This window comes from Homo sapiens, chromosome 19, assembly GCF_000001405.40.
Source record: "Homo sapiens chromosome 19, GRCh38.p14 Primary Assembly".
Classification (NCBI taxonomy): domain Eukaryota; kingdom Metazoa; phylum Chordata; class Mammalia; order Primates; family Hominidae; genus Homo; species Homo sapiens.
This window is the reverse complement of record NC_000019.10, coordinates 2841322-2867334: the sequence shown is the minus strand read 5'-3', so window position 1 is coordinate 2867334 and position 26013 is coordinate 2841322. Positions and strand designations below refer to the sequence as shown.

Genomic DNA, 26013 nt, shown 5'->3' with positions numbered 1-26013 from the left:
AGGGCAGGCCGGGTGTGCTCTGCAGGGAGGACAGCAACGCCCCGCCCCTGGGGCTGTGATTGGATGGTTCTCTTCTCTGCTCATCTCTGATTGGAGAGTTCACCAGTCACATCCCAACTCCCCTGATTGGACAGTTCTTTAGACTCTGCCCCTCCTCTTCTGGTTGGTCAGCTTGCTATCCCCTGAGCTCCCCTGATTGGGCAGTTCTTCAGGCCCCACCCCAGCTTTCCTAATTGGTCATGTTTCCACGCCCTGCCTCAGCTCCTTTGATTTGACAGGTCTCCAGGCTCTGCCCCAACCCCCCTGATTGACAGTTCTCATCCGGATGCTCCACCTCAACTCCCCTGATTGGTCAGTTCTCTAGGCCCCACCCCAGCTGCCTGATTGGTCAGTTTTCAGGTCTCGGGTCCTGCAGGCAGCAGCCCCCATCCACGGTGGTCTCCTTCCTGAAATGAAAGTGGTACTGACTTAGAGGGAAACCTGGGCCCTTGGGGTATCCACCGTAGAAAAAAGCAGCTTCTTCTGTCCTCAGTCTGTTGTCAGATTCCATGACACTGGAGGAGGTCCCCTCTCTCTCCTGACCAGTAGACACCTGGGGAGGCCCATGGGGTCAAGTGAGTGACCAACGAAAGCTTTACCATTCCCTAACTAGGGTCAGCACAATTGCTAGAACTGAACTCTTGAGCCATTAGCAATGGTCTAGCCAGCCGGGCGCGGTGGCTCATGCCTGTAATCACAGCACTTTGGGAGGCCAAGGTGGGTGGATCACCTGAGGTCAGGAGTTTGAGACCAGTGTGGCCAACATGATGAAACCCTGTCTTTACTAAAAATACAAAAAATTAGCCGGGTGTGGTGGTGGGTGCCTGTAATCCCAGCTACTCGGAGGCTAAGGGGGAAGAATCGCTTGAACCTGGAAGGCGGAGGTTGCAGTGAGCTGAGATTGCCCCACTGCACTCAGCCTAGGCAACAAGAGGGAAACTCCGTCTCAAAAACAACAACAACAACAAAAACATAGAAAACAAAACAAAACAAAAAAACCGAAAACACACTTAAAAAAAACTGTGGCAACAACTGTATCCTAGGTCAATATTTTGAGGTTAAAGCACTCTGGGGATATTTTGCCTCACAGTTTCTCAAGTAAAAATCAAGGTCACGAATATCTGTGTACCTATGAAAACTCAAACACCACAGCTGAGCGCTCAATGTGCAGGCAGATGAATAGTCTACAGGCAAATGACATATAATCAAGGAGGCATAATCCCTGGAAGCCTGTTGGTAGGGCTGAGAGCAAATAGATTTTATAGGGTCCCCGCCCACCTTTGCAGAGGCTATTCCGTATACTGTGATCACGGAAGCCACTTAAATGCAAATATTCCTTACCAATCCCACCAGACGTTCTCCTGCTGAGCCACAATACAGGGTTTCACCAAGACCCGCCCTTCCCTTGGGGTTACAGATGCTACTGACAGTGATCAAGGTGCTCAGTTCTTTTCTCAAACGACACTGTAGCGAGATTGATAAGGAATCAGAGAGACCGATGGGGTTCAGGAGGATATTTATTATTTAGCTGCACCAGCCCAGTCCGATTAACACCCAAAGGACTGAGCCCTGAACAAAGAGTTAAGTTACCTTTGAAGCATTTTGTGGGGCCGGGGGAGATCTGTGCAGGGGGAAGCATATTACAGAAGCGAGAGACAAAGAGAGTTATTCAATTAATTGAGACGTGCATTACATCATTTCTTACTTTTCAAGGCAAAACATGTTTTGCAACTTGAGTTTATCTGTCTAGTGAACTTGCAGCTGCACAACTAGGGAAACAGGGCCTTCACAATGCCTGGGAAGGGAGGAGAGATAAGGCTCACTAGCCACAGAAAAACAGGCAGTTAATTTTTAAAAGACTCCAGCTCTTTCTTGTTCTCAGGGGGAATTGGGTTTTCTTACATACAACTGAGTTTCTGCTTACACATTCTTTAATCTGTTTTAATTCCTGTTCCAACACAACACTGGGCTCTTTTATTTATTTATTTATTTATTTATTTTATTTTAATTTTTTGAGATGGAGTCTCGCTTAGTCACCAGGCTGGAGTGTAGTGGTGCAATCTCAGCTCACTGCAACCCCTACCTCCCGGGTTCAAGCGGTTCTCCTGCCTCAGCATCCCCAGTAGCTGGGACTACAGGTGCCCGCCACTACGCCCAGCTAATTTTTGTATTTTTAGTAGAGACAGGGTTTCACCATGTTGGTCAGGATGGTCTTGGTCTCTTGACCTCGTGATCCACCTGTCTCAGCCTCCCAAAGTGCTGGGATTACAGGCATGAGCCACCATGCCTGGCCAACGCTGGGCTCTTGAACAAGGCGTTCAAAGCAACTTTCTGCTCTCTTATACTCTCGGGCTAGAGGCCTCCTAGAACTGATGGCTCAAACAAACCTTGCTGACATTACAGACCACACATGGTCTTCTAAACGGGTCTTCTCCACTGTGTGCAGCTTTACTTAGGCTCGACCCCAGCCTTTAGGGCCCCCTACTTTGTCCTGATCATCAGACTTACTGGCACCTTAGAGTACAACCCATAACACATGCTTCTTTCTTTCTTTTTCTTTTTCTTTCTTTTTTTTTTTTTTTTTTTTTTTGAGACAGAGTCACGCTCTGTTGCCCAGGCTGGAGTGCAGTGGCACGATCTGGGCTCACTGCAAGTTCTGCCTCCAGGGTTCACGCCATTCTCCTGCCTTAGCCTCCCGAATAGCTGGGACTACAGGCGCCTGCCACCATGCCCGGCTAATTTTTTGTGTGTTTTTAATAGAGACAGGGTTTCACCGTGTTAGCCAGGATGGTCTCGATCTCCTGACCTCGTGATCCGCCCGCCTCAGCCTCCCAAAGCGCTGGGATTACAGGCGTGAGCCGCCGCGCCCGGCCACCATCTTTAGTTTCTACAGGAGAACTACACATCCGATGCTTCTAGCTTCCTTGGCTATTGTTTTAGGCTACCGTTACCTTCTTGCTTATCAAGTTGCATATTTACTTCTTGGGGCTAACTAGGTGACTGAAATTTACCTTGAAGAAAAGCAAGATTGTTCTTTATTTCTATGCCTGGGAGATCCACAGGCCGTGAAGAGGGAGTCCCTGCTCCATCTCACACCCACTCCCAAACCTCCTCTTGAGACAAGTGTGCTAATTTTCTGCTCATTGCACATACTTTTTGGGCCACCACGGGCACTGCCTTAGGCACACATGATGTCATCCTGTCAACTCAAACCATGAAGCCATCGGAAAACGTTCAGCACACTCTAACCACACGCAGCAGAGAGCTAATGCTTTAGATGCTTTCCGTGAAGGACAACGCTCCCTGGCAGACTCGACAGCTGATGACTGCTTGGCTCCGGGCTATTTGTTGGCCAGCCAGGGAGAGTTATGTTCCCTTAAAGGGGCTGCTGGCTATACGTGGGTACTGGAAAGTTTCCACAAATAACAATTGTTGGGGACCAGCCTTAACATCACCCGTAGGGTACCCAAAGTCCAGTGGTGACGAAGGAATGAGAAGAGACAGGTTAAGAGTGCATAAAGAGGCAAGGTGCAGTGGCTCACGCCTATAATCCCAGCACTTTGGGAGGCTGAGGCGGGTGGATCACAAGGTCAGGAGATCGAGAGCATCCTGGCTAACGCAGTGAAACCCTGTCTCTACTAAAAATACAAAAAATTAGCCGGGCATGGTGGCGGGCACCTGTAGTCCCAGCTACTTGGGAGGCTGAGGCAGAAGAATGATGTGAACCCAGGAGGCGGAGCTTACAGTGAGCCGAGATCGCGACACTGCACTCCAGCCTGAGAGACTCCGTCTGAAAACAACAACAAAACAAAAAAAAAAACAAAGAAGGTCAATATCTCTGAGGGGCAGATACTAGGCTCTGAGGCAGCACGTGAGAGGACGGCATACAGAGGTTTAGCAAAGGAGCAAAAGTAGGAATTCTCAGTGAAGAGAGCCAGCTGCTCCTAGAATTATACATATCTTTTTGTTGTTGTTGTTGTTTTGTTTGTTTTTTTAGACAGAGTCTTGCTCTGTTGCCCAGGCTGGAGTGCAGTGCCACGATCTCGGCTCACTGCAACCTCTGCCTCCTGGGTTCAAGCAATTCTCCTGCCTCAGCCTCCTGAGTAGCTGGGACTACAGGCGTGAGCCACCACGCCCAGCTTTTTTTTGCATTTTTAGTAGAGACAGGGTCTCCCTGTGTTAGCCAGGATAGTCTCGATCTCTTGACCTCATGATCCACCCACCTTGGCCTCCCAAAGTGCTGGGATTACAGGCGTGAGCCACTTCACCCGGCCCATACCTGCTTTTATTTTGCGGAGAGCGATGGATAAAATTGATTCAAGGTGTTCTGGGTGAGCTTTGGGTGCCCTGAGATACCTCGCATCCTAAGTAATAGCTATCTACACCCACTGAAATTTAGATTGGGAGACTTTATGGCTTAATTCAGCTAGTGTCTCTAGGAGAATGAGGAAATCCATAAGACCACCTTGCTTAGTTTGGCTACAAAGGCATCATCAGTATACTGAACACGAGTAGAGCCTTGGATAAATGTTACAAAGTCTGAGTAGGCCTTAAGGACTTGGGAAAATATGGATGGGGTACCAGCAATATTCCTGAGGTGTGCAGGCCATACCCACTGTCCTCCTCTAAACAGAAGTGCAAAGAGGAACTGTGAATCAGGACGCAAAGGAATGGAAAAGACAGCTGAGCAGAGGTCCATTCATGCAAACCAGGCTGCAGACACAGGAACTAGGGTAAAAATAGTGGGAACTGTAGGGTGGTGAGGAACTACAAGAATTATGGCTATTAGATTTTGTAAAATTGGTAACTTTGGTGCTCATCAAAGTCAAACTTCCCTTCTCATCTTTACGGGCAAGACTGGGGTATTATAGTGGGAGAAAGTAAAGATAATGGACACTGTGCTGTAATAAAGTCTAGTATAGATTCAGTTCCTTGTTCTGCATATTGACACGAGAGGGCATTGAGCTATTGATTGAAAAGGCTTAGGCTGGACGCGGTGGCTCCCACCTGTAATCCCAGCACTTTGGGAGGCCAAGGCGGGCGGATCAAGAGGTCAGGAGATCGAGACCATCCTGGCTAACACGGTGAAACCCCATCTCTACTAAAAATACAAAAAATTAGCCAGGCATGGTGGTGGGCGCCTGTAGTCCCAGCTATTCAGGAGGCTGAGGCAGGAGAATGGCGTGAACCCAGAAGGTGGAGCTTGCAGTGAGCCGAGATCGCGCCACTGCACTCCAGCCTGGGCGACAGAGCGAGACTCCATCTCAAAAAAAAAAAAAAAAAAAAAAAAAAAAAAGAAAAGGCTTATTCCTTTTCCAGGCAACGTGCACAGTCTCTGCGCTCTGCAGCAATGCAACTTCCTTTGCATATGAGGCCCAGAGTCTAACTGGAACATCAGTCATTAGAAGTAGTTGGAACATCACTTGAGGTTGCATCCTCTTCAGAGGACAAGTCTCAATTAGGGAAAATAGAAAGTTTGAAGTTTGGTCTCAGGTCAGGGGAATAAAAACACCTTTCCCATTACATTGCATGATGGCATTAAATTTATGTAGCAAATCACTACCTAGACAGTTTACCGGTGAGGCTTCAGAAACTGGAAAGCTATAATGAGTGTTAATCAGAACTGAGGATATTGGTGTGGCCTGAGACATGGGTGATGAAACAGGTTGCCTAAAGACTCTGACAGCTTTTCTGAAAAGAATGAAAAGTGACAGTAGAGATGAGTCCTCTGAGAAGCTGGCAGAGAAAGTCGGACCACTGTCAACTGAGAAGTTTAGTTTCTCATCTTCTATTTTAAATTTAATGGCAGGCTCTGAGGTGCAACTGAGGATTGGCTGGCCTCCATCAATCACTAGGAAATTCGGTCAACACTCCTGATGCATTTTATATGCTCCCATTTCTGAAAATATTCTATTTAAGAACCAAGGGAAGTGCAAACTCTGATATTATTTATTTACAAATCAAATTGAAGAAAACACTCATGTTTTATGATTTACAAAAAGCACTGGCCACTTTCATAAAAATTAGTGTTTAAAGGATTACCATTTAGAAAATAGGCTTCCTGTTAATAATTCATTTGATACATATTTTAAAATAAAATATGGCTGTTTTTATTTGTTTGTTTGAGATAGGGTTTGTTTGAGATAGGGTCTTGCTCTTATTTCCAGGCTGGAGTGCAGTGGCACAATCATGGCTTATAGCAGCCTCGACCTCCTGGGTCCAAGCTATCCTCCAGCTTCAGCCTCCTGATTAGCTGCGACTACAAGCGAGCCTCACCATATCTGGCTAATTTTCATGTTTTGCAGAGATGGGGTATCTCCAAGTTGCCCAGCCTGGTCTTGAACTCCTGAGCTCAAGGAATCCACCTGCCTCGACATTTCAAAGTGCTGGAATTAAAGGTGTGAGCCTCTGGTCCCTGCCCAATTGTTGTTTTTTAAATAAACAATGAATGCCAAACTTTAAAAAATCAACTTGAGGCTGGGCGCAGTGGCTCACGCCTGTAATCCCAGCACTTTGGGAGGCTGAGGTGGGTGGAAGATCACTTGAGATCAGGAGTTTGAGACCCACCTGGCCAACATAGTGAAACCCCATCTCTACTAAAAATACAAAAAATTAGCTGGGCATGGTGCCACACACCTGTAATCCCAGCTACTTGGGAGGCTGAGACACGAGAATCGCTTGAACCCAGGAGGCAGAGGTTGCAGTGAGCTGAGACTGCACCACGGCACTCTAGCCTGGGCAATGGATGGAGACTCTGTTCCCCACTCCCTGAAAAAAAAATTCACTCAAACTTACTAAAAAACTGTGAAGCTTTTTTTTTTAACTATATTTTGGAAGAATTTAATAGTGCAATAAATATATGCCTCTCAACGCTTAAGTACAATTCATTAATAACTCTGAGCCTGCTAGGCCTTTATATTTCATCACACAAAGACTGGAAAACACAGAGACACAGAAAAATCACAGCTGTGCAGTGAGACACATGGACATTCACAGACACTCTTTCCTGAAAACAGGGACCACCACTGAGACACATGGGACCTCCCAGATACACCAATATATGTCCCCACAGAATTACCCAGACTTTGTCACTAGGAAAAACGGTTGGACACACCCAAGCACACTCAAGAGATGAGAGTCCCAGAGGTAGTAACAGACTATCCCACAGACACACATAGTCCAGGCCCTCTGCACCCCTTAAGTCCATCTTTGTTTTCCTTCTTAGGAATTACCACTGTCCATACAAAGTGTACTTGACTTGCATTCCTTTTTTTTGTTTGTTTGCTTTGTTTTGGGCCCCTACGACATTAGCTTCAAGGGAACAAGGATATTTTGTCTCTTCTGTTCACTGCAGCACCTAGGACATCACCTGTTACACAGAAGAACATCAAGAAATACTTAATGTCCAGGCTCAACAGACATATGCATTTGGCAAGGTGTGCACACATCTCATCAGAGGGCCACAACCATCTGAACATCAAAGAATGAGTTGTCTTCACATCCATCCCTTGTGGAAGGAGGAGATCCCCCGAACCCTAAAGGAAGGTCCTTCAGCCGTTTTGATGGAGTGGTGGTGCTGGTGGTGGTGGTGGTGGGAGCCTCCCTGAGCCCTCACTGTCTACATAAGAACCTGAGAACAGGGAGCCTGAGTCTGCGACAGGACAAGAGTGATGATGCTGTAGCCCCTGACACGGCTCATATTCTAAGACTGAGCTCCTCACTACCAGACCCAGGGAGCTCAGTTAGGACATCACTGGTATCTCTTCCTCGCCCAGCTGCCCTGTCCTTTTTTGCAGTCACCTCTGACGCCATCATATTCACAGCAGTGCCTTCTACTTGCTGTGGAAGGTCCCTCGGACCATCAGGGTCCTTCCCCGTCTGTCGTGTCTACTCAAGTACATCTGCCATCACAAGATGAAGGCCTCTGGAGCACGGGCTGTCTACCTGCCACAGCCACGCGATATCCGGGACCCACCACACCGGAAGCTGAAGAGGGCAAGAGGAGAGCTTCCGCCACTTCCAGTACCACTCTTGATGTCTCCACTTCCTAGAGTCGCCCCGCCTCGCCTAAGTGCGCCTGCGCACTTCATGGAAGGCGGAAACTCCCAGATAGCCCCAACAAAGCACAGCTCTTTTAGACGCGAGCCCGTGTTGCATCCTGGGAACAGTCTGCCGGGCGGGGCTTCCGGAGACTGAGGGGCTTCTGTTCGGGAACTCCACTTCCCGCAGGCCAATGGGCTGAGGCTGCGCGCTTTGAGGCTGCTCCTGAGGAGGGCGCATGCGCTCTGGTGAGGCGTTAGTAAGACGCGTCCTGGACTGTGGGGAGGAGGCACGTGAGGAGCTTGGGGCGCGATAGGCACCTCCTGGGGTGTCACGACCTGAGTGCGCAGAAAAAGCACGTCAGGTGACTGGACAGTGAGGAGGAGTGCCTGTTTGCCCGCTTATAGGTGAAACCCCATCACCCCATCACTGTAGGTGGGTCCCAGCTGGGCATCTTTGTGATGTCATGGGAGATGTTGACACCGTGAGGCGTGTGATTGTGCCTATGGATTTATGCAGTAGCAGGAGCTGCTGTGGCTGATGGGCGTGTCTCCATGGCATGGGTTCTGCCACTGCCTCTTCTCTCACCTCACAACGCAGGGCTGCCACGTGTTCCCAACAGCAAGAGGAGTTTGGGGATCCATAAAGACGTTTCCCAGCATGAAGACACAGAGCTGAGCTTGAGATGAGAACTTTGGAGCTGGAAGTGGCCTCAGGAAAGGCCCTAGAAAACAAGATGCGGATGCCCCTTGTCTGAAGACAGGATCAGGATGCTCCCAGGCAGGATATTCCTGGGAAGAAGTGTAGGGTCCCCGTTTTATGTTTCAGAACCACAGCATTCCCAAAGATCAGATGGGAAGAACCTGGTGTAAACTCAAAGACAGATTCTGGAAGACCTCCTTCTTCTCTCCTGTTATGTGCGTGAGATAAAGTCAGGTATGGCCCTTGTGGGTGTTTCAAAACTTCAGACTGGGTTTCAAACAGGGTCTGACGAGGCACAAGTCCTTGTCAACCAGCCCTACATTTCCTCCAGAGAATTCCAAGATGGTGGGGGAAGTCTTGTTTTTTTATTTTTATTTTTTGAGACAGTCTTGCTCTGTCACCCAAGCTGGAGTGCAGTGGCACGATCATGGCTCCTCAAGGCCTCAAGTGATCCTCCTGCTTCAGCCTGCCAAGTAGCTGGGACCACAGACGTGCACCACCCCGCCTGGCTCACTTTTTAATTTTTTGGTAGAGTTGAGGTCTCGCTATGTTGCCCAGACTGGTGTCTAGCTCCTGACTTCAAGTGATCCTCTTGCCTCAGTCTCCCAAAATGTTGAGATTACAGGCATGAGTCACCGCGCCCAGCTAGGGAAAAGTCTTATTGCGAACTTACATGTCAAGTTTCAGGAATGTTTTGTATTCCTTTTTTTTTGAGACAGGGTCTTGCTCTGTCGCCCAGTGTAGAGTGCAGTGCATGATCATAGTTCACTGCAGCCTCAACCTCCTGGCCACAAGCAATCCTCCCGCCTCAGCTTCCCAAAGTGCTGGGATTATAGGCATGAGCCACTGCACCTGGTCTTGAGTTCTTTAATAAACTGAAAGCATTTTTATTGTTTAACTTTAAAATATACATACAACAAAATTTGCTATTTTAAGAGTAGCCTTATGAGTTTTTGCAAATGCTTGTTTTCACCACTACAATCATGACAGAACACTCTTAAGCCCATATGTACTCAAATCCCCTACTTCTAACCAGCGATTTGTTCGTTTCCCTTATCTTTGCCTTTTCCATGTCTTATAAAAGGAATACCATATAGCCTTAGGAGTCTTTGTAAAATTTGATGCCCTATTTGTAAAATTAATTATACTTGCTTTCCAGTGTTCTAAATTTAAGTCTTGACAATGCCCAATATAGGTTAAGCACAGGTTAAGCCTTCAAACTTGATTCCATCATCATGAGCTACATGAATATACAAGACTCTGTTGTCCCCGTGCTTAACTTTTTTCATCTAAGAGGGAATGATGGGTAAGTGGGTGTTAAGAAATACAAGTGACTGCCAAATCACATTCATCTATAGAGCGTTATGAAAACTTATGTTAACATGGAAAGTAATGGAGATTACTGGATATTGTTTGCTCTTTAATAAAACTCTAAGGTGTTACATGTTTTTCCTCTTCCCTAGTTAATTCTGGAAGTTCAGAGGTTGAAATGATACCTGAGAAAACTTAAATAGGCTTTTGGGGCTTTCTGGCTCATTAAAACAAAAGCTTCTGCCTCCTTGGCCTATAAAACACATGAAAAATTTTCTCGTTTGAGGATGTCAAACATGTCTTCTTTTTTTCCGGAACTCACCTCTAAACCACAAAAACCATCAAACATTCCCCTCTTCTCCCCCATATGACTGGCTGCTGTGGCTTTACTGATTAGTTTTCAGCTCCAATTAACTTCTGCTTTGTAGATGAGAACTTTGGGAGTTCCCAGAGAATTATATTCATGACCTGAGAACATCCAATCCAGACCAAAGCCTGGCTTCCTTGAACGCTCACCAAAATCACAGAACACAAGGCCAAATCTGATAGTAAATCCTTTTAAACACCCTCTGATACAAGCCACAGCCCTTTCTTGATCATGTGTTCAAACTTCAACTCAACACAGCAAATTTTCTTTGACTACCAGTGTGATCCTGGTGGTTTCTGGGTAGAGGGCCTTGACAAAACCATTATTTCCGCTTTTTAATTGTTATTAACCACAAATAAGAAATCATTTTAGGCCGGGTGTGGTGGCTCATGCCTGTAATCCCAACACTTTGGGAGGCCAAGGTGGGCAGATCACCTGAGGTCAGGAGTTCAAGACCAGCCTGGCCAACATGGTGAAACCCCATCTCTACCAAAAATAAAAAAATTAGCTGGGTGTGGTGGTGCATGCCTGTAATCCCAACTACTCGGGAGGCTGAGGCAGGAGAATCAACTGAACCTGGGAGATGAAGGTTGCAGTGAGCTAAGGTCGTGCCACTGCACTCCAGCCTGGGTGACAGAGCGAGACTCTGTCTCAAAAAAAAAAAATCATTTTAATGGCAAATGTTAAGTATACAGCAATTAAAAATAACATTTATATGAAAAAATACCTGTATTTGTATATACTTGGTAATACTGATTCAAAATGTAACATGCTTAAATTATCAAAATTACAAAGTTGATTTGAAATCTGTAATTCTCTCGGTAAACAAAAAATAACATTTCTTAGTGTTATGGGTTGAATTGGGTCTCCTAAAATTTTTACGTTGAAATCTTAATTCGCGGTGCCTCAGTATGCGAAAAGAGAGCTGTTGCCAATGTAATTAGTTAAGGTAAAATCATACTGAAGTAGAGTGGGGCCTAACCCAATGAGTGGTGTGTATGTATAAAAATATTGTCACATGGAGAGACACACACACAGGGAGAATGCCATGTGAAAATTAGAGTTATGCTGCCACAAGCTAAGGAACTACCAGAAGCTAGGTGAGTTCTGAAACAGATCCTTCCCTAGCATCTTCAGAAAAAGCATGGTCCTGCCAATGCCTTGTTTCTGGATTTCTGGGTCCAGAACTGAGAAACAAAAAGTTTGTTTTCCTATGTCACCCAGTTTTTGTACTTTGTTATGGCAGCCCTGGGAAATTAATATAGTCTCTAAACAACTAATTTGAAAGCACAGTAAATAGGATTTTTTTTTCTTTTCTTGCTTGTGTGATGGAGTCTTTCCCCGTCTCCCAGGCTGGAGTGCAGTGGTGTGATCTTGGCTCACTGCAACCTCCGCCTCCTAGGTTCAAGCACTTCTCCTGTCTCAGCCTCCCAAGTAGCTGGGGTTACAGGTACTCACCACCATGCCTGGCTAATTTTTGTGTTTTTAGTAGAGACAGGGTTTCACCATGTTAACCAGGCTGGTCTCAAACTCCTGACCTCAAGCCTCCCAAAGTGCAGGGATTACAGGCATGAGCTACTGTGCCCAGCTAAACAGGATATTTCTAAGAAATATCTACAGAAGGTTTTCCTTGAAACAAAATCCACATTATTTTTAATGATACATAATCAAACCTAATAATTTAACCTATATCAAGAAACTGCATTTAGTTCTGAGTAACAGAAATCTCCCTAAATCTAATATATGAGGAAGGTATTTGTTCTCACATAGGACTCGGCAGGCACACTTAAAAATGCAATAGGGTACAAAGTCCCATGTGTTGTTTTTCTTCTTTGACTGCAACACTGTGGCTTTCGTGGTGGAATCAGGATCACAGAGCCACTGGAAGTATTAAGATAACAAGGTGTTCACTATATAAATTAGACCCCATGCAAATATGTTAAGATCTACAGAACGGGAGAATCAGAAGCTCAGAGACTGCCAAACAAGACAGTCTGAATCAGTGGTCAAGAGGTCATGCAGGGTTTTGAGAAAAATCCAGACTCTAGGTGACTGACCACACAGGAATATCCCTAATATCAAGTTAATGGAGATGTCTGAGGAAGACTACACCTCTGACACAGTGGAAATCAAGCACTTAAGTGTTTCTTTTGATGGTACTCTTGATTGGCAGGAATAAGAATCTGGAAAATAAGCTGAAGGTTGATGTTCACAAAGCCCCTATGCATCTGTCCATCTCCATTTAATGTGACCCCAAAAGCTCAGCGATGACTTACTTCTTCTTCATTCTAAATTTCATTCAAGTTATTGCTATTGGTAAATTTGGACATGGAACCATAAAGGAAATGCATTCCAGCAAATGAAGTTCCTAACACTACCCACACTGACAACAATGCAGAAGAACTATCTGCAACTCTGGATTTCTCCGTCACATCACAAGTCAAAGCCTACTGTCCAATTCACAATCACAAGCAAAGACAAACAGCAATGGGCAAACATTAAAAATTACAATTCATTTGAGGCTATACTCCTTAAACAACTTTGCATAATTACAAAATTCTGCCAACTACTTCTTAAAAAATGGAATAAGGCTCCTCTGGCCAAACAATAAAAATACTCCCAGTAAAAAAGGTGGAAAATATAATAGATACGTAATATCCAATACCTGTCACACTAAGTCAGTTACAATTTAAGAAATTAAATAAAACTTGAACCTACTTGCATATTAAAAATACACTTCAAATCATCCATGAGTCCAAAACACTCTAAGATGAAAGTTTTATTTACTGAATCGTAAGAAACTACCTGTTCAAATTCATGTAGGATAGCTGAGAGTATTTGGAGAATTATTTTTCAACTAAATGTTTATTTGCAAATGAACTACAGACACACTCCTTGAGTGTCCACTTTCAGGATAAGGAACTCATAAAGGCAACACCATATTTACAACTTTGATCAGATCTCTCTCCTGGTGTGACTTTTCTGAAGCACTGCACATGAATTCATTTGCAGGAGGATGTCCTACATTACACTTATACTGTTTTTCTGTAGTGTGTATTCTCACATGTCGCCTTAAGGATGAGGAACAATTGAATGCTTTCCCACAATGCTTACATTGATAAGGTTTCTCTCCAGTGTGCAGTCTCATATGTATTGGTAAAGATGATGGCCATTTGAAGACCTTCCCACATTCCTTACATTCATAGGGCTTCTCTACAGTGTGCGTTCTCACATGTTGTTGCAAAAGTTCAGGCCAACTGAAAGCTTTCCCACACTGCTTGCATTTATAGAGTTTCTCTGCGGTATGTCTTCTCATATGTTTTTGTAAGGATATGTGGCAATAGAAAGCTTTCCCACATAGCTTGCATTCATAGGATTTGTCTTCAGGGTGCATTCTCACATGTTCTCGAAAGCAAGCAGACAAGCTGAAGGCTTTCCCACACTGCTTACATTCATAGGGTTTCTCTCTAGTATGTGTTCTCATATGTTTTCGTAAAGATATGGGCCAATTGAAAGTTTTCCCACATTGCTTGCACTCATAGGGTTTCTCTCCAGTGTGCACCCTCATGTGTCCTCGAAAGGAGGAGGGGTGACTGAATGCTTTCCCGCACTGGTTGCATTCATAGGGTTTCTCTCCACCATGAGTCCTTTCATGTCTTCGAAAGGACTGGGGATAAATGAAGGTCTTCCCACACTGTTTGCATTCGTAGGGTTTCTCTCCAGTGTGAATCCTTTCATGTCTTCGAAAGGACTGGAGATAAATGAAGGTTTTCCCACATTGTTTGCATTCGTAGGGTTTCTCTCCAGTGTGTGTTATCATGTGTCTTCGAAAAGCCGAAGAATAACTGAAGGCCTCCCCACATTCTTTACATTTATGTGGCTTCTCTCCAGTGTGTGAAATCATATGTCTTCGAAAAGTTGAGGAATAACTAAAGGCTTCCGCACATTCCTTACATTTATATGGCTTCTCGCCAGTGTGTGTTATTGTGTGTCTTCGAAACGTTGAGGAATAACTGAAAGCTTTCCCACATTCCTTACACTTATATGGCTTCTCTCCGGTGTGACTTCTGAGATGACTAGTAAGACTTGAGAAGTCAATAAAGGCTTTCCCACATTGCTTACATTCGTAGGTTTTCTCAGCAGTGTGAATCCTTACATGCCGATTGAGGGAGGAAGTACGAGGAAAGGTTTTCCCACATAATTTACACACATAGGGTCTCTCTCCATTGTGGGTTCTCACATGCATTCTTAGGTGTGAACGACAACTGTAGGCCTGCCCACATTCCTGGCACTGATATGGTTTGTGTCCAGTGTGAACTGTGATGGGACTCTTGAGGGATGTGCGGCGATGCATGAAGACTTTTCCGTACGTGTTGTATTCATACTGTTTTACTCCAGGTGGAATTTTCTTGTACAGATTAAGATGTGGAATCTGGCTGAGGGCTTCTCCACATTGATCATTACTTTCACAGAGTCTCTCCAACCCATGATTTCTACTAAAAATGAGAAGCATGTTATTGGTTTGATTAATAATGATTTGTTAGTATTTATTAGGATTAGGACTGCATCTTAACCATTTTCAGTGAAAGCATAGGTTTTTCACCCCATGGGAACTGTCTGAAAATGAAATAAACTGAATGCCCTGGAAGATGGTTTGACCACTGCCATTATTAAAACAGTGTTTCTTATGTATAGGGTTTCTTTCTCTTTCTTTCTTTTTTTTTTTTTGAGACAGAGTCTTACTCTGTTACCCAGGCTGGAGTGCAGTGGTGCAGTCTTAGCTCACTGCAACCTCTGCCTCCTGGGTTCATGCAATTCTGCCTCAGCCTCCCGAGTAGCTGGGATTACAGGCCTGCGGCACCATGCCCTGCTAATGTTTGTATTTTTAGTAGAGACAGGGTTTCACCATGTTGGCCAGGCTGGTCTCGAACTCCTGTCCTCAAGTGATCTGCCCACTTCAGCCTTCCAAAGTGCCAGGATTACAGGTGTGAGCCACCGTACCTGGCCTAGGGTTTCTTGATAATGGTTTCCATCTGAATTATGTTTCTAATGTCACTCACTGTCTATGTCACATTTAAAGAAATATTTTTTTGTAAAAATTCTGTGGATTAAACAAATTGGAGCTAGGCTTGGATGAGTTTTCTGTTTGCTTGCTTTTTTAAAGTTTAATGACAGACTAAGATTCTCTCCTGAAATACTATGTTCTCTTGTGAGTGCAACTCACCTGAGATTTCTCCCCTGGTTTGTGGTTTGATCTTCGATGCTAAGACTGTCCCAAATTTTTCCTAAAACAGAGGCCCAGGAAACATTTCTGGTGAACGTGGCTATTTTAGATTCCTTGGGTATTTTCTCTCCATAAATATCCTGCTGAGAAACTGACCCACTGGCCTTAAATTGAGTTTCATCATCTGAAACCAAAAAGTAAACAAATCATATAAGAAGGCACTTGTTAGCGGAAAACGACACTGAGGAGTTTAGCTATCTCAGGACTTCATTAAACACAAAATGGTCAAAAAGGTAAGCAACTCAATCAACACAGTATTAGTAAGCATAGAAAAATTATTAAAAAAAAAAATTCACGGCCAGGCGCGGTGGCTCATGCCTGTAATCCCAGCACTTTGGGAGGCTGAGGCGGGTGGATCACAACGTCAGGAGTTCAAGAGCAGCCTGGCTGACATGGTGAAACCCCGTCTCTACTAAAAATACAAAAATTGGCCAGGGATGGTGGCGCTCGCCTGTAATCCCAGCTACTTGGGCGCCTGAGGCAGATAATTGCTTGAACTCGGGAGGCAGAGGTTGCAGTGAGTCGAGATCACACCACTGCACTCCAGCCTGGGCGACAGAGTGAGACTCCATCTCAAAAAAAAAAAAAAAAATCAAATTTTCACTGGCTTGCACAAACAAATTTCACTAGGCCTATCAAAGCTATATCCACAATGACGACATGAAGGGAGCTTTCTCTACAAAAATAAAAAGCTGAAATACAGATTCTCATTCTCATGGAAAAACATTACATTCTAGCTCTATGACAGCTGTGACTATGTCTGTCTTATTTACCAATTTATTCCCTTTCCACATTCCAAGCCTTGGAACAGGTCTGATGTGTAAGAAATACTTGTTCTCTCAATAACTACGTGAAGGAAGGAATGATGTCATCCTTACCTACTGAGGCCAGGTTCTGAAAGGTCTCCAGCATCACATCTCTGTAGAGGTCCCTCTGAGCAGAATCCAGCAAAGCCCACTCCTCCAGGGTGAAGTCCACAGCCACATCCTCAAAGACCACTGAGTCCTAAAACAATTCAACATATTTATGGGAGGATGGTTGAGACCGAGAGCCCAGGAGCATTGTACTCAATTCGTATGTAGTTCAAACAAGATTCTGTGATTCCCTGACATCTACCCTGTGACTCAGTTGTCACACCTCTTCCTTCCTGTCTACACTCACTTCCTCATAGATTTCACAGGACCATTAACACACTGAATTTCTCTCTATACTTTTACTGGGACCAACTGAAGACATTATTCTCTATCAAAAGGATTCAGACCACATTGGAGATATCAAACAAATGCTATATAAGTGAAACAAATACTTGTATTTTAAGACCATCAGTGCCTTGTCACACAAACCGTTTTAGCTCCTCCCCTGCTGCACACACCATCATTCGGCACTACACAAAGCACAGGGTCAAAACTGAAGTTTTATGGGATAAAAACACTGAAGGATTGGGAACATTCCCTTCTATTTCCTTCATAAGGGCCAGGTAGCCATAGCGTCTTAAAGAACTCCTGGTCCAACTGGCTGAATGAAAACATTCTTTTGAGAAGTATTGATTTTAACTTGGAAACTAGAAGTTATTGAGAAATTAGACCTTAGGAAAGAGGAAAAAGACACGAGAACGTAGACCTCCACACATTCCCTATACTTCGAGCCTCAGTGACGGAAGCCCAACAATTAATTCTGGGTTCTCTCTCTCTCACACGCTGGCTCTCTCTCGTACACACAGGCACACTCACTAAGTATACACAGAGCGAGGTGCACACAATGCCAAAACAGCTCTTTTCACCAGAGCCGAAAGAAAGTATTCTTGGGCCAAGTGTGGTGGCTCATGCCTGTAACCCCAGCACTTTGGGAGGCCGCGGCAGGCAGATCATTTGAGGTCAGGAGTTCAAAACCAGCCTGGCCAACATGGTGAAACCTCATCTCTACTGAAAAAAAAAAAAAAATTAGCCGGGCATGGTGGTGCACGCCTGTAGTCCCAGCTACTTGGGAGGCTGAGGCACGAAAATTGCTTGAACCCGGGAGGCAGAGGTTGCAATGCATCAAGATCATGCCACTGCACTCCAGCCTGGGTGATAGGGCAGGACTCAGTCTCAGAAAAAAAAAAAAAAAAAGTATTATTGCTAACCTTAAGGATAAAGTTAAGAGTCCCACTTTGCAAAGGAGTTAACTGAAGTCCAAACCATTTGACTACGAATTTTCAATGGTTATAAAAGACATAGACAAAATAGTGCCTTCCTAGAAAATTCTGTGTCTCAAATTCCAGGAGGAAGTGATTCCCCACATACCACTCTAGAGGCTGCACTCTCAATTTCTCATTATTTCCATATTGCATATTGGGCACAGGTGCATGGAACCCCCGAGATGCACGGTTCCCTCAAACCTGCTGAGAAAGATCAACTCCTTTCCGTCTATGAGCAGGAGACAGACAAAATACTGTCACGCAGCAATTCTGATGCTAGAACAGTCCTATTCACAGAGCTGCAGAGTATCTACAGGACCCTCCTACTGGCACAGGGGACAATATGAGCTCCCTGGGTTAGCCTTAATTGCTCATAGTGCAGTGTATTTGCAGTGTTTTTTAATAATAAAGTTCCCATATGCCGAAAGAAGTTAACATTGCGGGCCTTAGACTCTATCCTTAGAACGGCTTTCTGGCAATGTTGCCCTTAGCTGGTGTCTGGGAACTTGGGTTTTGGGAAGGTTCACCCCCACCCTAATTCAGATTACTCATGGTGCAAATACCACTGTTAATGCTGAACAGCTGCTTTCCTTCTGGAAATGGAATCTGTGTACATACCAGGCAGGGGATGCTTATGTGATCAGCCAGCAATAAAAATCCTGGGTACTGGCCAGATGCAATGGCTCCCACCTGTCACCCCAGCACTTTGGGAGGCTGAGGCAGGCGGATCACTTGAGGTCAGGAGTTTGAGACCAGCCTGGCCAACATGGTGAAACCCCATCTCTACTAAAAATACAAAATTAGCCGGGCGTGGTGGCACGTGCCTGTAATCCCAGCTATTTGGGAGGCTGAGGCACGAGAATAGCTTGAACCCGGGAGGTGGAGGTTGCAGTGAGCCAAGATCGTGCCACTGCACTACAGCCTGAGAAACACAGTAAGACTTCATCTAAAAAAAATCCTGGGTGGCTGGGTGCGGTGGCTCACGCCTGTAATCCCAGCACTTTGGGAGGCCAAGGCAGGTGGATCACGAGGTCAGGAGATTGAGACCATCCTGGCTAACACGGTGAAACCCCGACTCTACTAAAAATACAAAAAAATTAGCCGGGCGTGGTGGTGGGCGCCTGTAGTCCCAACTACTCGGGAGGCTGAGGCAGGAGAATGGCGTGAACCCGGGAGGCGGAGCTTGTAGTGAGCAGAGATGGCGCCACTGCACTCCAGCCTGGGCGACAGAGCCAGACTCCAGCTCAAAAAAAAAAAAAGAAAAGAAAACAAAGAGCAGCGTTTGGTTTTTGTTTTCTTCTCCAGGTAGGAGAAAGGGCCCCCATGTTCTGAAAGGTAAGCTTTGGGTGAGGAAAATGGTAAAAGTTTGTGTTGCATTGGGAGGGAAAAGAAAGTTAATTACCAAGGCTGGAGCACAACTTTAGGTAAACCCTGGGGAGGCAGGGGACACTCCGTGCTTTTTTAAAACCTGTTGCTGGTTAAAAAAAAGGCTGGAGTGTTCCCTGCTTCCCCTTGGTTTACCTCCTGACCAGCCATGGTCTTCCCTGCTAGCATAATGCTATCCCTGTAAATGCTGAACTGCCAGCGGTTTCTTGTGACGTGGTCCCCCAGAAAGATATGTCCGTGTCCTAATTCCTGGTACCTGTGACTATAACCTTATTTGTAAATAGGATCCTTGCAGATGTAATCAAGTAAAATGACATCATCTAATCCAATGGGCCCTACTCCAATATGACTAGTGTCTTTATTTTTTATTTTTTTTAAATTTTTTTCAGATTAAGTAACTTTATTAGCATCAGTTCAGCTAATAAATGCTGAAGGCAGGATTTGAACCTGCATCTACTATATTCCAAGGATTTTTTCTCCAATTTTTTAACTGTGGTAAATACATATAGCATACAATTTACCATCTTAACCATTTTATTATACTTTAAGTTTTAGGGTACATGTGCACAATGTGCAGGTTAGTTACATACGCATACATGTGCCATGTTGGTGTGCTGTACCCAGTAACTCGTTATTTAACATTAGGTATATCTCCAAATGCTATCCCTCCCCCCTCCGCTGACTGGTGTCTTTATAAGAGGAAAATGTCACATGAAGACAGAAACACACACGGAAGGTGGCCACGTGGAAGATGGAGGGAGAGACTGAATTATGGTGCCACAAGCAAAGGAACACTTGGGGCTACCAGAAGCTCTAAGAGACGAGGAATACTACCGCATCGGCATGTGTGATAAAAATGAGAGAAAATGGTAAAATATTTGTCACTTTAAAAGCACTACAGGGATCATCTCAATCAGTTTTTTGTTTTGTTTTTTTAAGTGACAGACACAACTTCTTTGCTCTTTGCCCCTGGTGTATGGATTGGAATTTAAACTCTAAGTATTAAGATTAGGTCTCCACAACTGATTTTTTACTATCATTTTTCCTATTGGAGGTTCAGGGAAAAGGGAAACAAATGAAAAGAGAGGCAATCTCTAAGTGGAGATACACTTTTGGAATGTGAAGTAGTAGTTTCTAGTTTGTTAATGCGCTCTTATGAAAACCTATTTCTGACAACCTCAAGAGTTGATGGTTTTCAAACCACATGTGCATATTTTTAACTGTCAATTTGGACTCTAAGATTCACGAGACCAAAAGCGCTTAGGAAACTCTTGCTTGCAACTTGATCTTGGAACACAGCTGTCCAACCCGGCAATACCTAGCTTTACTGCTGCAGAAGCAAAGCCTTCGGTGTTTTATGGAATTCTGAACTCAGATCCCAACGGCGTGGACTTGACTGTAAGCTAAAACCTGACACTGCCCACTGCTAATTCATCCTCACTATGTCCACTGCTAACTCAGCCTTCACTATGCTGACCTGACAGCAGGGCTAGGCTCAATGAACAGGACTCTAATTCAGGAAACACTGCAGAGTTAGACACTCCCGGGTAAGGCCCTGAACTACGAAAAACATCAGGGGTGCTGGCTGGTCCATGTGGCTCACTCAGTTGCCCACAGTGAAGGACTGGCTTGACCTTGGATGGAACTGTCTGATTCAGAGCTGTGACCGAAGCGCTCCCCTCTTCCTGAAGGAAGTGTTGCATGCAGCTGTGAGTGCTCTGAATTCAGGTTGGCTGCTAAGCCTCTGATCACATCCGACAACCCTGAGACAGCAGCAAGTGGCCCCAGTTCCTGAACTTCCCACAAAGGACATCTCCAGGTGTCGTCCATACTGGAGAGGTCAATGAACTGGTATCACAGACATGCAAAACTGCTTGAAAATGATGCCTCAGGCAGAGCCTCTGAAACTGAGGACTAAACTGAATTATTCGGTCTACACTGAGAACCCTAGGACAGGAGGCCCACAGTGGGAGGTCACACTGGGAGCCCTGCTAACCCGACTGCCTGACCAATGTTAAGTCCTGCTTGGGGTGTCCCGACCATTGCAAACAATGTGCTTCCAAGGGGACTGACTACCTGTCCCCTAGGGGGTTGGACTTGTTTTGTACTTACCCTGGCACTCAGGGCACTGCCTTGTCCCTGGAAGACACCCAGGTCTAAGTTTGACTTACTGGCCAGAGTTATGCTGTGCAGGAATTGGTGCCTCTCTCCAGTAAAAAAATAGTAACGGGGGAAGGAAGAGAATACTACAGAAACTTAATAAGCCACCTGGCTTTCTAAGACCTTTGTGGTCCAAGCATATGAAAAAATGCTCAACACCACTAATCATCAGAGAAATGCAAATAAAAAGCACGATGAGATACCATCTCACACCCGTCAGAATGGCTGTTATTAAAAAGCTAAAAAATAACAGATGTTGGCAGGGCTGTGAAAGGGAATGCTTACACATGGTTGGAGGGAATGTAAGTTAGTACAACCTCTATGAAAAGCAGTATGGAGATTTCTCAAAGAACTAAAAACAGAACCACCATTCAACCCAGCAATCCCACTACTGGGCATCTACCCAAAGGAAAAGAAATCATTCTACCAAAAAACACATCACTTGTGTGTTCACTGCAGCAGCATTCACAATAGCAAAGACATGGAATCAACCTAGGTGACCAAAGACAGTGCACTAAAGAAAATGTGGTCCATCTATACCATGGAATACTACACAGCCATAAAAAAGAACGAAATCATGTCCTTTGCAGCAACATGGATGCAGCTGGAGGCCATTATCCTCAGCAAACTCATGCAGAAACAGAAAACCAAATATGGCATGTTCTTACTTATAAGTGGGAAGTAAATCTTGGGTAGACATGGACATAAAACTGGAAACAATAGACGCTGGGGATTCCAAATGGAGGGACAGAGGGGGAAAGGGCTGACACCCTTCCTCATGGCTACCATGTCCACTATCTGGGTGACAAGCTCAATGGAAGCCCAAATCTCAGCATCATGCAATATTCCCTTGTAACCTGCACATGTGCCCATGAATCTGAAATAAAAATGGAAATTAAAAAAATAATGATTCCATTGCAGCCAATGGAATTTACCTTACCTGGCTAAGTCCAGGAGCCCTAAACAGCACAAGTGAAATCATTACTGCAGTGTGGTCTCCTCCTACTTCATAGGGGCCTCCCATAATAATTCTGTGGTAGAGACACCTGTGCAGTGGGCTAGGGGGTGGACGCAGGAAGAGCCAACCCAAAGGCCTGAGGGCCCCTAACCTTAGAAAGTCCTGCCTGCAAAGTTGGCCCTTGGCTGGCATAAGCTAGCCTGGATTTGGGGAGGGTTCTCATCCCAATAGAGGAGTTGCTTATTGTGCTGAAACTGTTTATGCAACAATGTGTTTACCCTAAAGATCTGCTTTCCTCCTGGGTGTCTGAAATCTTGGCACAGCCAGGCACAGGGGACCTCTGTGACCAGCCGCCAATTTTAAAACACCCTGGTTGGGGGCATGGTGGTTCACACCTATAATTCCAGCACTCGGGGAGGCTGAGGCGGGCGGGCCACCTGAGGTCAGGAGTTCGAGACCAGCCTGGCCAACATGGCAAAACCCTGTATCTGCTAGAAATACATAAAAATGGCCAGGTGCAGTGGCTCCCGCCTGTAATCCCAGCACTTTGGGAGGCTGAGGCGGGCAGATCAACTGAGGTCAGGAGTTCGAGACCAGCCTGGCCAATGTGGTGAAAGCCCATTTCTACTAAAAATACAAAAATTAGCTGGGCGTGGTGGCGGATGCCTGTAATCCCAGCTACTCAGGAGGCTGAGGCAGGAGAATTGCTTGAACACAGGAGGCAGAGATTGCAGTGAGCCAAGTTCCTGCCACTGCACTCCAGCCTGGGCGAAAAGGGTGAAACTCCCTCTTTAAAAAAAAAAAAAAAAAAAAGAAAAGAGAGAGAGAGAAAGGAAAGAGGGAGAAAGAAAAAAAAGAAAAGAAAAGAAAGATAGATTAGGCAGGCATGGTAGCAGGTGCCTACAGTCCCAGCTACTTTAGAGGCTGAGGCAGGAGAATCACTTGAACCCAGTAGGCAGAGATTGCAATGAGCCGAGACAGCACCACTGCATTCTAGCCTGGGCAATAGAGCGAGACCCTGTCTCAAAACAAAACAAAACAAAAAAACAAAGTAAAGGGACACAGCCCTGAGGCAGCCCCTGTGTTCGGGGAAATCTGATCAGTGCCAGGGCCGGCATTGCAGAGGATAAACACTTTAATATAAGGAGCTGGGACAAATTGTCATCTAAACAAGAAAAATATCTTGTATTCTACCTATTTCAGGAACAACAAAAAATGTATTATAGAATTAAGGTAAGGGTACTGCAGTATTGGAAGCAGAACAGAATCATCCACCGTCAAAAATTCTCTACCATGTCAAGGAGAATAACATATTTTGGTAAATTTGTATAATTTATCTGCAACATGTTTCGTGGCAATGTATTCATTTTTCTGCACGTATGGTGGAAAGGAGATTTTCTCTGTTTCTCTGAGACTCTTCTCCCCAGTAACATTTTGAAGTTTAGGCCCTGGAATCCTATTTATTGTCATTCAAAAGAAAAGAACAAGGCTGGTCGAGGAGGGAGAATCACCTGAGCTCAGGAGTTCGAGACCAGCCTGGGTAACAGAATGAGACCCCATCCCTAGAAACAAAAAAATACAAAAGCTTAGGCATGGCGGCACACACCTGGAGTCCCTGTGTTCAGAAGGCTGAGGCAGGAAGATTGCTTGAGCCCAGGAGGTGGAGGCTGCAGTGAGCTGTGATCGCACCAGTGCACTCCAGCATGGGCAACAGAGCTCCCAAAAAAATAATAGTAATAAAAGAAAACAGAAAATAACAGATCTGAGAAACGACACACACTCCAGGGAATGTTTAACAAATGGAATGTAAGACACAGATTTTAATTTTTTTCCTGAAATTCACCCCGTTGGAAGTTTTTTTTTTTTTTTGAGACGGAGTCTCGCTCTGTCACCCAGGCTGGAGTGCAATGGCGCGTTCTCAGCTCACCGCAACCTCCGCCTTCTGCGTTCAAGTGATTTTCCCGCCTCAGCCTCCCGAGTAGCTGGGACTACAGGCACCCGCCACCACGCCCAGCTAATTTTTGTATTTCTAGCAGAGACGGGGTTTCTCCATGTTGGCCAGGCTGGTCCCCAACTCCTGACCTCAAGTAATCTGCTCCCCTCGGCCTGTCACAGTGCTGGGATGACAGGCTTGAGCCACCGCGCCCGGCCTGGAAATATTTTATCTTCCAACTTCTACTAATTAAATGTACGTTTCACTTCCTAAAAACTGCTGACTCGAAAAAAGGAAAATCTTTTCACAGTGACAAACCCAGGGAGGGGTCAAGTCTGGCCAGGCTACCACGACGGACGCCCTCCCACCCCCAACTCAGGTGTTGCCTCAGCAAGGAATCCCATTGCTAGTACTCAAAACAGAACTGAGAAACGTCTTCAAATCCACACTTTCTAGGGAACCGTGAAAGAATATATTTCCGTGGTTTTAGCCCCCTCGTTTGCAGTCAGTTGCTACAGCAGTCCGAGGACACTAATGCACCAGCCTCCCGGGCGTCCCCGCTGTGGGTCTGCGTGCGTTTGCTTTTGGGGTCCTCGCTCTCCCTTGTTTCTCTAGTCTTTTCAGTTACTTTTCTTCCTTGTGTGTGAGAGCCCAGGGACCAGGAACCCTTGTTTTTTTTCCCCTTACCTACCCCAGGCATCTTGGGGTCAGAGGGGACAAGAAGTCCTCAAGAAGGAAAACCGGGACTCAGGGGAGGAAACCTCGCACGCCCCAGGGGCTGCCTTTGCAGGTGGGGGCGTCTCCGCCCCCGCCGAGGCCCCACCGCTCCCGGGCTGTCCCGGGAGGAACCCAGGGTCCCCCAGAGACCGCGGCCGGAGGCGCGGGGCCTCCAAGGAGCTGAGCCGCGGGAGCGCGAGCGGAGGCGGCACCGACCAGGGACCCGCACCCCAGGAGGCACCGCGGCGTCGGCCCCAGGGCGGGTCCCGGGGGAGCCTGGACCGCACCTCGGGGTCTCGGGCGACTCTGCCTCCCGCGGCCCGGGGGTCCCGAAGCCGCAGCGAAACGCTCCGAGGCGTCGCGGCCCCGGGCGGGGCGTGGGGGGTCGGGAGCGCAGGGACGCGGGGACCCCGGGACGACGGGGACGGAGTCGGGCTCCGGGCGCCGCTCCCCGCTCTGCAGCCTTGGGGCCAGAGGCGGGCGGGGACCCGGAGCTCGGAGCGCCCTAGCCGCGACCTCAGCGCGGGAGGCGGGGCCGGGCGGGACCCCCGGGGCCCAGGCTCCCGTCCTGCGCCGCCCTCGCCGGGGCCGCCCCCCGCGTCCCTCAGCTCCCCCCAAGCCGCGGTCTCGGGCGGTCGCCGGTTCCTGCTGCCCCGCACCGGGATCCTCTCCTGCGCCACACTCACCATGTCCCGGGGCGATTTCTTCGCTACCGGCGCAGGTGAGCGCGACAGGAACCGGGACGCCAGGGACCGCTAGGGGCAGGCGGGGCACTCACGGCTAGGACAGAGGCGTCCCGTCCCAGGGGCCTGATTAGACAGAGCTCGGGAAGCCGCGCTTCTGATTGGACAGTGCTGCCAACGTCGGCGACTCTGATTGGAGAATTCCCCAGTCCGTCCCCTGGCGCTGTAAATTGGGCAGTTCCCCGGATTCCGATTGG

At 46.3% G+C, this 26013-nt stretch overlaps 1 protein-coding gene across 4 annotated transcripts, besides 2 other annotated features; it reads right to left on the bottom strand.

Moving 5' to 3' along the window:
• Positions 1 to 6863: 6863 nt before the first annotated feature.
• Positions 6864 to 25860, bottom strand: ZNF555 (zinc finger protein 555). Of its 4 annotated transcripts, none has more exons than NM_152791.5 (4): positions 25760 to 25860; positions 16622 to 16748; positions 15684 to 15867; positions 6864 to 14955 (listed from the first exon to the last, which is right to left on the bottom strand). In NM_152791.5, exons 1-4 carry the CDS (start codon positions 25760 to 25762, stop codon positions 13383 to 13385), a joined length of 1887 nt encoding a protein of 628 aa, NP_690004.4. In that variant the 5' UTR covers positions 25763 to 25860; the 3' UTR covers positions 6864 to 13382. The 4 variants fall into 4 exon arrangements, with proteins under 4 accessions (NP_690004.4, NP_001166246.1, XP_016881864.1 ...); NM_001172775.2 differs by having other exon boundaries at positions 6864 to 14952; XM_017026375.2 differs by lacking the exon at positions 25760 to 25860 and adding an exon at positions 25048 to 25175 and having other exon boundaries at positions 6864 to 14952.
• Positions 25480 to 25529: a silencer, noted in NCBI's record as "silent region_9815". NCBI's record gives its function as "represses an Ori minimal core promoter by ATAC-STARR-seq in GM12878 lymphoblastoid cells {active_cell/tissue: GM12878}" and the evidence as "EXISTENCE:reporter gene assay evidence [ECO:0000049][PMID:35858748]".
• Positions 25570 to 25869: a silencer, noted in NCBI's record as "silent region_9814". NCBI's record gives its function as "represses an Ori minimal core promoter by ATAC-STARR-seq in GM12878 lymphoblastoid cells {active_cell/tissue: GM12878}" and the evidence as "EXISTENCE:reporter gene assay evidence [ECO:0000049][PMID:35858748]".